The following is a 13,911-nucleotide window of genomic DNA, read 5'->3' on the forward strand; positions in this document are numbered from 1 at the left end:
TTCCCCCCAAAAAAGTAAATGCAATGCTTCTGCTTTAAAATTCTTAAATAGCTTTCCTTTGTTCTCAGGGTAAAGCTGAAATCAGTATTTGGCCAATAAGCCCTTCCGTGGTCTCTTTAGTTCCTTCCTATCTCTCCATTCTCATCAAGTGTCTCTTTAATGATTTGCTCTGCTCCAGAGGACCTATTTTAGTTCTTGGAATTTTCTCAGCTTTCTTCCACCAAAGAAATGAAATGTTGTACCTGAAATGCTTTCCTCCCTCTTTACCTTTGGATTTTGCCGTTCCACAGAAAAGCCTTCTTTAGAGTATCTATAAAAAGATAATTATTCCACAACAATTATTGGCTGGGCGTGGTGGCTCACGCCTATAATCCCAGCACTTTGGGAGGCCAAGGCAGGCAGATCACTTGAAGTCAGGAGTTCAAGAGCAGCCTGGCCTACATGGCGAAACCCCGTTTTTACTAAAAATACAAAAATTAGCTGGGCGTGGTGGCAGGCACCTGTCATCCCAGCTACTGGGGAGGCTGAGGCAGGAGAATCACTTGAACCTGGGAGGTGGAAGTTGCAGTGAGCTGAGATCATGCCATTGCACTCCAGCCTGGGCACCAAGAGTGAAACTCCATCTCAAAAAAAAAAAAAAATTTTTTGTGAAGAATTCATGTTTGCTTTTCAGATAAGTTCTAGGAGGCCAGGGCCTGTGTGTGTTTCTTCGCCATTATTTTCCTAGCTGCAAGCATGGTGTCTGGGATACAGTAAATGTTTGCTGAACATAGCTTGCATGCATGACTGAATGGCAAACACTAGATTCCTTTTGTGTATCAGATTTTAGTGGAAACAAAATTTATATCTTTGTTTAAAATTTCTCCAAAAAAAAAGATAATATGGTCCTATCAAAGAAATTGATAAAGAATTTTTTTAGAAATATATGAGAGTTTTGCTAAAATGTACTTGTTAGTGGTATTTTGAGTGATAACCTCACTAACAAAAGAAGCACAGTTTCTCATCTTTTCCCAATTATATTTTACAGACTTTCTTCTTACACAATACCTAGGGTAATAACTAGACACACATCCAGATGTGTGTGGCCATTGCTGAAAAAGAGCAATTAACTGGAAAACTGTGACAGTGATTTCCCATTTTCCATTTCAGAAAAAAAATTAAGAATTACTAAAGTTAGTGCTTAAAGTCATAGAGTCCATATTAAATAAATACAAGCCTACGGATTTCATTTGCTTTCCGGGAAATGAGATTAACTAGCCCCAGGCAAAACAGATTGAGGTAATGTGTCACCCTAAATTCTAAGCTGGTATTCTTAGGAGGTCATCCTAAGACTGATGTTGCCAGTAAGAAGGAAATAGTTTATCTTAATTACATATATTAGCTTTTTTAAGTTACTAAGGTTCCTCTAGAGGAGTTTTAAATGCTGCCCAACAAATATATGTTCTTCTTACTTTCAAGCATCCTAGAATTGAGTAATCAGTTTCCCATTAACGGAACAGGCACTGGCAATTTTACATTGTTAAGATCAAAAATCTATGTTTAAAGACCAGATGGAATCAATCAGGCTTTTTATAATAAACATGACCAAAATACTTTCAGCATATGTAAGAAAAGACAAAATATCAAATATGTTTAAGACTAAAACCAAAGATACTGTTCATATTAATTATTCTATGCAACTAAATTATTTTAAACTTTTCATATCATTTTAAAGCACTAACTTCTTGAAGATACCTAATTAGTGAATTTTGTTGTAATTATAAGAAAGTTATTTTACGTGGGGGCAAATACCTATTTTATACCTACAAAACAGGTATTATCTAAATCTATAAAACAGATTTGCTCCTATTCCACTCAATTTTGCAGGAGATTAATAATATGCTAATTATCTAGAAAGCAGCCTGCTGCTCAATTTGTAATGATGCCAGAGCCATTTATAGATACACAAGAAGGAGATTAGAGAGACACTAGGATACAAGCTGAAGAGAGATTCTTATCTTTGAAAGGTTACTTAGAATTTCTTAAGATTCAGAGTACCTTTATTTTTGTAATTTCACACAATATATATTTATTCATATGTGGAGGAGAAAAAAGGAATACCTTCCACTTGCCCATCACAAGGATTATGGCTGACACTCCTATAATAAAAGACAAATTAGTAGGAGCCTTCAGAAATGAAGACCAAAAGACCCACAGAAAAACATGTATTTTTTTGTGCCAGGGTTTGATGAAGAATGTACAGTGGTATACAAATATGTTTGAACAGAAAGGCCTGTTTGTTCAGATTCTTCTTGACCTCTCTGTATAGCATCTCCTTCCTCCTAAGTCTGGGATAGAACCCCTCTGGAATGAAGGTCTTAAGACCTACTTTCAGGCCAGGTAGGTCCAAGAATTCCTTCATGACTATGTTCACACAGAAAAGCAGGGGAAGGTCAGAAAGAAAGTGACCTTTCTAGAGTTTATGGTTTGCTTTAGGGAGAGGAATTCAAGTTTCTATGACCTACTTTGGGGATAATGGAAAGAGGGTAAACAAAGAAGGTCAGGGAGGCATTGCTTCAGAGGCTCTCCCATTCTCCTTCAGTTTGAATTACTCAGCAGGCCAAGGCACCATACTCCAGAGTATCTTGTTCTAAGCCCTGACACATGCAACATACAACAATGTATGAAGCACTACAACAAAATGGCACTCAAAGGAGTCAGATGAGTCTTCTTAGTGGATGAACTGGGCTCTTAATCCAGTGTTCTTTCTACCATAGCATGATAATATTTAATATCAGTCTTCTTTCTGGAATCATCAATGTGCCAATACACTGGAAACCATGATGCTGCATATTTTTAAATAAATGTTTTGTATAAGTGGTTAAAAGAAACCATGTAGTAAACGGGGGAAAAAAAGTGATTTCATAAGGTTTGTGTGCATCAGAAACACTTTAGGGGAATGCTTTAGGATTCCAAAGAAGAAATTCAACCGAGAAAAGTCCCTTTTATTTTCACTGGTGGGTAGATGAAAGTAAAAGTTTTGAAATATAAAAGAGCTCTGGGACTCATTTGGATACACGTGTTTGTATTGCCAAAAGGTAAACCACATAATGCAGAAGAAGATTTCTGGCCAATTTAAGAGCCTTACAGGGATAGTTTGTGGCCCTACCACACGATTTCTTTTTATATTAATGCTGCTGATACTGATTTGTCTGTTGATCTCTCTCCTGGAAGATATTCCCAATATCACTGAGGCTGTAGAAGTATCAGAAATACTACTTTGAAAAGTGATTTCCAAATAATCTTTCTATACATAATCCCTTTCAGAGGGACTGGGGATGGAGAATTGACAGATCACTGCATTAACTTAAGAAGAGTTGTGCTATTTTTAAACAATTAAAAACTGTAGAGAATATGACTATCGTCTCACACAAAAGTCAGAAACGTCTGCACTAATGCTGTCATGGGATTGTTGCAGGAGAATGACAATGAGAGCCTTCTCAGAATAATGAATGCCCCACTGAGGAACAGGGTGTTTCCTCTCTGTACTGACATCCATCCTTCCTCTCCCAACTGAACAGCGGTCCCATTACTTTGATTCAGATTGTCCTAGAAAGAAAACTCCTCTTATGTAAGTAAACAGAACTAATCAATCATTAGAAACTGGTGACTTCCATTAACATTGTATTTCCATGCCCCTAAATGTTAAGGAGGCGTTCATAGGCTAGTCTAAGAACCTAACCACTATTTTAAAAATTGTCTCTCTGGGAAATTTCCTTCCTCTTTTCCTCTTCTCCCCCCAAAAATGACTCATACACAGAGTTGATAAGAATTTTTAAAAGCATATGTGATTTAAGTCATAAAATAATATGAATAGTAACAGTAAAGTTTGAGTGCTTTGAACATCTAGGCAGTATTTCAATTCTTCAAGTGTTTGTGAAATTTTTCTGTTGCTATAGTTAAAAAACAAAAACAAAAATGGAAACGGGAATCCAAGAACCTGGATTCATACTCCCGCTCTTTCACTTCCTAAGCTATGTGACCTTGACCCAAGACAATCTGAGTCACTTTCCTCAGCTGGAAAAGGATCTAATTTCTGTTACATCACATCTCATGGTTGTAAGGCAGTACAGAGCAATGAAAGAGCATGGACTTCAAAATGAGACAAACGTGGATTTAGATTTTACTTCCACCACCTACCAAGTTATTGAATTTATCTGAATCTCAATTTCTTCTCCTTCTGAATTTGGAGGAGGATTCAAAATAATATGTGCCTAGTAACTGCTGAGCTAATAAATATGTGCAATGATTATAAGAGATGTGGATGGTGCTTGAAAACTGTTAAGTGCTAGTTAGCTAATATAACCATCTAAGTATCATATTGTTGAATATAAGAATATGTACAACCATTATGCAATTTAGATCACAACTTGAAACCACAGTGTATACTGAACTTGATGCTTGCTGATTATCTATCTTTCTGACTAGAATGACTAAATACAGGCTATGTAAAATTAGGAGCTTTGTCTATCTTGATAATTATTTTATTCCCAGTCCCTAAAACAGTGCCTGGCACACAAGCAGCCCTTGATAATACCCTAATATTGATGTAGAATCTATGTGTCATGCATCTCATTTTCATAACAACTCTGTGATCTAGGTACTATTTATTATTAGGCCCTATTTACAGGTAAGAAAACTGTGGCATGGACCAATCTCACAGGGAATAAAAGGCAGAGGCAAGATTTGAACCCTGTCTGGTTTCAGAGTCAATTCTCAAATGCCGCACTTCACTAGAGATAAATATTTGTTGAATAAATGACTGAGTTTCCATCTTCATCCACAATTGTTTGGTGATATCTAAACCATAATAACATTAAGGATACAGTATTAATTAAATCATTTTATGAAAAAGGATGGCCATTTTCTTTCATCTCCATACAAAGTTATCCAGAAAACTTCTTGGAGCAATAAAGGGAAAATGGTCCTATTTTCTGAGCACACTGAAGGCCAGATTACACAGGGCAGTGAGGTGTAAAAGAGTTGTCCACTATGTCTTAGTAGGCTTTGGGTGAAATGATCTGGAGTCTTCTTTCCCTTAATTTAATCTCATAGAGTACATTTATTTTCCTGCAAACTGTGGAGGGAGGACACACGTTCAATGGAGAAGTCTGGCAGTCGGAGCTCTCCCTCCCCAGTAACAGACCCTAAGGAGGCTGCTAGGGCTAATGCTTATTGTAGGAAGTAAAATTTTCATTTCCTATATCACATTCTGGTTGCTTACCTTTGTATTTTTTATCTTCTCTACTCAGATCTAAGTATTTTCTAGGCTTGATATTATTTACCTTCAAAGTAAGCTCATGTGAGAGAAAAGCTGTAAAATAGCTTGTATAACCTTGCAGAACGCAAACTTCCTGAGCCTCAATTCCCTTAATAACACTCTATCCTTTCCAAGTATAGTTTTGTTGTACATCAGTATGAAATAATGCATTAAGAACTATAAATTGCTATACAAATGTGAAAAATATCGTTACATTCTCACAGGGTTAAGGAGGTTAAATGGCACATGGTTAAAGGCTGGAGCACTGACATAGCATTCCAACCTGGCTCATCACTCATGTGATCTACGTCCTTAGTGTGCCTCAGTTCCCTCATCTCAAAAGAACTGGTAATAATAAAACCTATCATCAGGATTTTGCAAGGATTAAGAGAGTTGACACATGTAAAGCCCCTACAGCAGTGTACGGCAGGTGATAATGTCTTCATAAATATTAGCTATTATTATTTCTAAAAATTGGACCACATTTTACTGGAATATAAACATATTTGAGGTTTTCTTTCCTTCCTAATAAATCTTTATATTCCAAAAACACTTTTAGGTCTATTTCTCCACTGTCTTGCCTTGTTCATTTATTCCTGAATATGAATGTCTTTTATACTTATAAATAATTCCTACTAGTCCCAATTTTGCATAATCAGGAAGGATCCTAAAAGTCTCAAGCACATAATAATTTGTCATTTTCTGAAGGCTATATCTGACTCCTGTGTTCTATAAGGTACCCAGATGTTCAAGTTAGAGTGAACTAATAAGTTTACATCTCAGTCCAGTTGTTTGTAATCTCTACTGCTCATTGCATGAGTAGTCATCCTTATTCAAGCTTATTAGAGCTTCCCATTATCTTTTATGCACGTTTTCAGGGATAGATGGTTGGACTTCATGATGAATTTGTATTTATAAATTTCATTATTCTACAATGTCTTGAAATCCTTTGAGTAGTCTATCCAAAAGGTAGCAACATTCTTTAGTTTTGGATCTGTGTTTCCAAATATTTTTTAGTAATTTTTACCTAGATGTTCATTGGAGAAATTAACTACATTATTATAAAATTAGCTTCTTCCTCAAAATTATGTCTTCCTCTCTCCTGTAGCTAACATATGAACATCATCATTGACCCCAATGTCTTACTCCACATGCAAAATTTTCCAAGTCTTCTTGATTCTACCTCCACAGTATCTCTAGCATTTATTCTTCACTTTCTAGTTTTTCCCCTTTATTAGTTTGGGCTCTTGTCTTTTGATATGTGGACTGTGGCAAGTAGCCACCTAAGTGGGCTGCTTACCTCCAGTATCTTTCATATGATCATATCACCTCCTTACTCAAAATCTTTGAAAGCTTCTGTCTGCCTAGAGTGAAACCAAAGTATAACACTATAGCATCCAGTGCCCTTCGCAACCTGAGTCATGCATCCTTTTCTAACTTATCTATACCAATGCCTCCACATACCCTCCACTTCAGTCATAGGGCCCTCTTTAGAGTAAGTTTGCATTCATGTATACATCTTTGCCTTAACTCAATTTGTTCTTTCTGCTTCTTTTGCCCATCTCTATTGATCTTTCATAAACTCTATTCATCCTTTTAAAAAAATCTACCTGACACTTTCTTCCTTCCTTCCTGAGGAATACATTCCTCAGTCTTCTATGTTGCCATGGCAATAAAGTAGTCAATATCACACTGTTTTAAAGTTGCTATTAAAATATTACATATCATGGGAAAACATGTATTGCCTCTTGTCACTGAATCCCTAGAAAACAGTGTCTTAAGGCGAAACTAACCTACTGGCACTTTATTGACGACTACAGTGCCAAGGAAGCAAGAGTAAAAGAGAAAGTGAAATGAGGTAGGAAAAGAGTGAAGCAAATACTAGGTGATTTTTCACGAATACGGTGGTTCCACATGAAACCATTGTATCTCAGACCAGGCCCTCTGGGAAAAAAAGATGAGTGACTTCTTCTCTTTATTCTTCCTTTGTCTCTTTCATTAGTCAAGGTTCACCCACAGGGCATTAACTCCCATAACACTGAAGTGCATTGCCAAGCCCCTTTGGGCAGTCAGTGGACAAACCTTGGCCCCCATGGGTCCTGTTAGATTGGACCTAGGTGCTGGAAATGAGCTATAATGGCTCATTTCATCTTAGAGGAGGCAGAAACAACTGATGCTTTTTGGAAATGAGGTGATTACTGTGATGACCTTTATGACAACAGGAAAAGAGTACATGTAGGCAGACAGGCAATGCCAAGAAAATCTACGTGATGGGAACATACAAACTGGGTTCAGCACACTTCTCTTTGTGCCCTGATACATAGCAAGGTTAATGTCTTAGTGTTTACTGTATATGGAATACAATGGTCATCAACTTCACTATTTTAAAATGTGACTTGAGGCAAAGCCAGATTACTTACATTTGACTAGGTAGTAGGATCACAGGAAAGTAGCATATATTGGGTAGTACTAAGTGCCAGGCACTGCACTGAAGCCCGTTATCTTCTTTGGGTGAATCTTTCAGTCTAATACTCCCAATATCCTATAAAACAGGCACTTTTGACATCTTCATTTTAAAGGTAAAGAAAGCAACAGAGTTGCTTGTCCAAAGTCAAACATCTAGTAAGTTGCAGAGTCAAGATTCTGGCCCAGGTAGCCTAACTCCAGAGCTTCCCCAAGTATCCTCTCATAGCCATGTGAAACTCTATTTTGAAGAAGAAAGTCAGATCTAAACTTGGAGATGAGGATAGCTTGCATTATTCTTTACTTGGCAAATGCAGAATCATTCTCGCAACCTCCTCCACAACTCCCAGGACAACACAGAACTGCATAACTACCCTCAAATCCATTGTTGTGTGAACCCACCCTGCTATTTGTAGTCATAAGAATTCATCACTACAGAGTTCACTTGCTTTTTTAAGTCACAGACTAAATTGATCAACACTATTTCTTCAGAAATCAAAAGATTTTGAGTGCCTGTGGACTGACTTGCCACTGAAGTCACATTTGGCTATTTACCACTTGCTGAGGACTGTGCAATGTGCTCAGCTCCTGGGTTTCTCTTCTGATATTGAATTACTGTAGTGATCAGGTATTTATTTCCCTTTCTCCAGAGAGGATGACTGCTGTTGAGCTCCCACATGGGCTTCTGTCTTGCCTGGAGGGAAAGAGGTGTGAAGTCTATTTCAGTGTTCACTAAGTGTTTAATCAGCCAAGGAATCTGATCGCTGTCATGTCTTACTGTAGCTCTATAGGAAAAGCATACTTAATCTTGAAAACATCAACTAGAAGAAGCCATTTGGTGTACCGGGAGCCTGATTGTGATATTGTTTGATGTACAAAATGTACCTCTCTCAGCATTCTTAGTGAATTTCAAATTTCCACCTCCTAACTTACATAGCAAAAATTCTGTCAAACCACTGAGTCTTATTCTTGCCCTTTACATTTGTAAAATGATTTTGTGTATGCAAGAAATACAAAAACATTGCAGGTGGATTCAGACAAGTCGTATTTTATAGATACTTGTTCATCGATGAGACAAAGCAAGATAGTAAAAGATTGAAATATAACCCCCATATATCAAATGGCTGCAGGAATTTGAGACCTCTTGCACTCTTAGCTTTACTTGAAAGATAGCTATAGAATGATAAGTTGAGAAAGTACAGAGTTGTCATAAAAAATTCTATGTTGAAGCCACGTCTTAAGTGTTCCTTTGGAACTACTGATTAAATGTTGATTCGACAGATGCAGGTTAGAGTCCAGGCTCTAACACATATTGGTAGCTTGGGGCAAATTTCCAATCTCTTTCAGCCTCATTTGACCCGTCTGTAAAGTATAAATAATAAAATACCCATGTTATCAGACTCTTGTCAAAGCTGGATGACTAATATTACACTTGAAAAGCACTTAGCATGTCAGACTCAGTTACTTGCAAATTATCACACCAGAGGATAGCAGAGATTCCTTGAAAATACACGCTGACTGATTTTTATGCCTACTATCCCTGTTTTTTCCTCTCTTAACAGATCTTCAGTACAAGGAATAAAACAAAGAACTGAAAGTGTACCAAATATAAATAAAGACTTTTAAAAAACCCACTAGTTTTATTTTATTAGATTTTAAATCACTAATATAGAAATGGTTGTGGAAGTGCTGAAAATTCAAGGAATCTCTGCAATAGAAAGATGTGAGACTTAGGCCCTAGAAAACCTGAACAACTAGATAGAGAGGAAAAAAAGGAAAGAGGAGTAGGTTAAGAAGAAAAATAAGAAAATCAAGAGAGTTTTTGAACATTCTTAGGCAGAGTGGCATGAAGGATTCTAATAGAAGAGAGATTTTTCAAAAAAGTTTCCTTCCTCTATTTTAATAAGTATTGAGTGTGTAGTATATGAAAAGCTCTGGAAAAACACAATGATAAAAGACGTTCTCCATCTTTTAAGAGAATCTCAATGCCATAACAAAGTTATGGTTCAAGTTTGTGCACAGAAAGGGGAACACAGAGGAGGGAGCCTCTCAATCTGCTTGGCCAAGGGAGAGTAGACAGGGCAGCCTTAAGAAAGCAGGTAACAAACAGGTGGGTGTGAACTAGAAAGAAGAGCGGTAGTTGACTGGGCAGCACAAAGGAAAGCGTATTCAAAGACCAGGGGCTTGAAATAGCCTCCCACGCTCAGGGAACTGCAAGTCTGGAGTTGAGCTGAAGCATACAATGAGAATCAAAGAGCGGGTGGTAGTTCTCCCTTTTGGGGTCTGTGCACTGTCTGGGAGCTCTGTTCAGAAAGTTCACTCGGCCCTACCTCAAGTGTCCTATTCCAGTCATTCAAGCCTCAGCATAGATGTCATGTGTGTAGAAAATCTCCGCAGACCGTACAACTTAGCTGAGCTCCTCATTCTCTGCTCAGCAAATAACCATATTTTCAGCCCTGAGCAGCATATATGTGTGATGTGTGTTATGTGTGTGTGTGTGTGTGTGTGTGTGTGTGTGTGTGTGTGTGTGTGTATTATTTAATTTTCCTATTGGATTATCTGTTTATTTGTCTACTATATTTCCCCAGTAGTTTCTTAGGAGCAGGAACCCTAGCTTTTTCACCATGGCATCCCCACTGTCTAGAATTCTACCTGCCATAAAGTAGACACTCAATAAATATTTGCTGGATGAGTGAAGTAGGTGGGACATGTAAGATTTGCCAGATAGGGGAAACCTGTGCATGGGTGAATGTAGAGGAGAGATTCAAAGTTTAATGCTCATGTAAGGCTTCTTGTTAAAATACAAGAAGGGACAGGACATAAAGGGATTTGTAGATTGTGATGAGGACTGTCTGTTTTCTCTAGGTGGAGAGAAACCACTGATGATTAAGTAGGAAAGGAATATAATTAGTTTCCTGGTAGAAGGTCATTCTCATGATTATGTAGAGGAAGCATTAAAGAAAAATGAGACTAGTTTGAAATCCACTGAAGTGACTAAACCAGCACATTTGCAGTGAGGAAGGAGAAGAGGTGACTGATAAAAACCATTTTTAATAGGAAGGGCCTAAGGACATGAAGAGACCTGAGGCAGGGAGGTGGTGGGGGTGGGTGGGAGGTGGGAACAGACTGGGTTGACTCCTGCATAATATAAGTACTTAATAGTTGAGTTTTCTAAATGCTAAAGGAGCCGATAGTGCTAAATGAAAGGGTAAGTGTGGAAAAAAAAAAAGAAAACAGAGGGATAGTTGTGGCAATGAAGACATCATCAGCGACATTCCAGAGCAGAGGTGGGGGTAGGTTTCATGAGCTACCAACAATAATGAAAAGTGGTGGCTGTCGGTGTCTGCTTCTCTTCACCTTCAGCTCCATCCTGTATAACAAAGGGACTTGGATAGACAGACACATGTGCACACTAAGGCACACAGAACAAAGCTCTGTCCACTCCCCTCCTAGAAACCTTTCCCTGGCCACCACTCAAGCTGGAGAAGTATGAATACCACCAGTAGCAAGACACACCTTGAGAGACAGCCCAAGGAATTTTTTGGGAGCAAGACTGGAGTACATTGGACAGAGAATTTCAGAGTCTTGGGTTCCTGAAGAAGGGGATATCATGGGTTCTGGGTGGTAAACCCTCATGGCCTTTCAGATTCCCTGACCAGTGTGAAGAAGTAGAGCTAGAGGAAAACCATAACCCTGGGTCCAGAGCAGAAGCCACTTCTGCCTGGGTCTAAAGGCAGGACTGATTGCAGGAGAAACCCTAGCATTTATATCCTGTCATCCTGAAACCCCACAGTAAGAAAAGTAAGAACTCTTACTCTCCAGAAGTCCCAATCAATTCTGATTACTTCTCATTAGCTCTAAGTGGTCACAAAACAATCTCATTGTGGGCACCAATCACCATGGTCAGAAGGAATGTTATGCAGTATTTGACTTAATGTGGTTATACGCAGTAGCCTGGGGGAAGGGTATGCAGCCCCTGGTCTGAAAAGGGAGGAGGGGTAGATCCCCAGGGAGGTAAGGAGAAAGGATGCTGAGGGGCAATGACTCTTACATGTGCTACTACAGGTAGAAATGAAGCCAGATTGCAGAGCGTTCTGGAGGGAATATCTGAAGCAGCACATGTAAGTCAGGCCATAACAGAAAGGAAAAATATAATTAGAGCAAGGAAACAGGGGCAAGGTATGATGATAGCCTTGCCAGATAGGGGAAACCTGTGCATGTGTGAATGTAGAGGAGAGATTCAAAGTTCAATGTGCGTGTAAGGCTTCTTTGTTAAAATGCAGATTTGGATTCAGCAAGTCTGGTGGCGGGGGCTTGAAATTCCACATGTCTAACAAGCTCCTAGGTGATGCTGCTGGTTCATGACCCTCCCCTTGAGAAGCAAGAATATAGAGAATTAGACAGCAGAGAAAGAATGAGATTGGAGACGTGCCCCCGCAAAAAGAAAAAAAAAGAGATGAAACTAATGATGCTTAGACAGTGCTCCTCTTTGGTCGCATGTGATAAGCCCCTTCCCCAGCAGAGAAGCACAGCCAACATTGAGGAATAACGCAGGGACATTCCAATGTTCTTTTAAGAATCCTAGAAGAATATTCTAAACAAGCTTTCGTCAAGCATGGGCATGGAACAGGAATCCTAAGCCCATTACCTTCTTGTCCTTCCCATGCTGACAGATCCCCTGAAGCGTTCATGTGACAGCTACGCCCACGCCCAGGCTACACGGCATAGAACTTGGATAAGCAGCTGGAAGTTGCTCTGCCATAACAGTCTTAGAGAGAACGTAACTTCCGTGTGTGTGTGTTGGATTAGTTCAACAGTCTAGCAGATAACCACAAAGTTTCAGTCACATTGTTAGTGGTTCCCTCATGACTTATTTTTTAATCAGTTGTATACATAATGAAACTGAGTGAATTAGGGCTTCACACGGTCTTCTTTCTATAAATCAGAAATCTGAAAACCATGTAAATTTGCCAAGTAATGAGGTGTCACCACCTTAGAGTAACAATACTAAAAAAGTACCTCATTAAAATGAGGAAGTAATCATTAGTAAAAATTTATTTCTGCAGTCCTTGACCTGAAACAAAAATTATGTCACATTTTCCATAGATATTGACATCAGCAATGACTTTTCTGAAACATTAAGTGGAGCACTGTCATGAATAACATTTTCAATAAAACTTTTTAATTGAAATTTCAAAATACTTTTAAAAACACATTCAACATCCCCAGTGCCTCAATTTACTGCTGGAAAATAGCATGTTTTTATAAGTATAGGTTGTGTATCCTAAAATTTTTTTCCTTACTATATTATCCTATAGAGTTATTAATTCTCTGGAAATAAAATTTGTCTCATGAGATCTCAAAAACCTGCTAAAATTTGAGTATTTTTTTTTCCTTTACCTCCTCATGGCTCTTCAGTACATTTTATTCTCATTCTACTGTTGTGGAAACAGAAAAGTATAACAGAAATCACAGGATTAGATCTCTGAAAACTTGATTCATTATTGGCTCTGCAAATGAGTTTTTTGTTCTTCTTAATCTATATTGAGTCACTAAACCCACCTCCTTCTATTCCTTCTACTTCTAATGGCAATCCTTCCATTTTCTTTGCCTGGGCTTTCTTGACTAGCTTTTTCTATGATTTTATTTTATTATTTAAAATGTTTTATTTTTAATTTTCGTGGGTACATGATATGTGTATATTTTGGGAGGTACATGAGATGTTTTGATATAGGCATGCAATGTATAACAATATCAGAGTTAAATGGGGTATCCATCCCCTCAGGCATTTATACTTTGTGTTACAAATATCCAATTATACTTTTTAAATTATTTTTAAATGTACAAATAAATTATTATTGACTAGAGTCACCCTGTTGTGCTATCAAATACTAGGCCTTATTCATTCTTTCTATTATTTTTGTAACCATTAACCATCTCCACCTCCCTCTCTCTCCCACTATCCTTCCCAGTCTCTGGTAACCATCCTTCCAGTCTGTTTTTCATTATTTTCTGCTTCTCATCTTTCCTTGTCACATTAGATACCACCTCCTCAGAGATATTTTCTTCATCTCTCTTTGCTAACGAGTTTATTTTCTGTTTCTTTCTTAGAATATCTAGTGCATAAACACAGGTACGTATTCTTTCTT

At 38.0% G+C, this 13,911-nt stretch overlaps 1 annotated feature.

Annotated features, from left to right (window-relative positions):
- Positions 7,126-7,175: a silencer, noted in NCBI's record as "silent region_17989". NCBI's record gives its function as "represses an Ori minimal core promoter by ATAC-STARR-seq in GM12878 lymphoblastoid cells {active_cell/tissue: GM12878}" and the evidence as "EXISTENCE:reporter gene assay evidence [ECO:0000049][PMID:35858748]".

This window comes from Homo sapiens, chromosome 7 (assembly GCF_000001405.40).
Source record: "Homo sapiens chromosome 7, GRCh38.p14 Primary Assembly".
Taxonomy (NCBI): domain Eukaryota; kingdom Metazoa; phylum Chordata; class Mammalia; order Primates; family Hominidae; genus Homo; species Homo sapiens.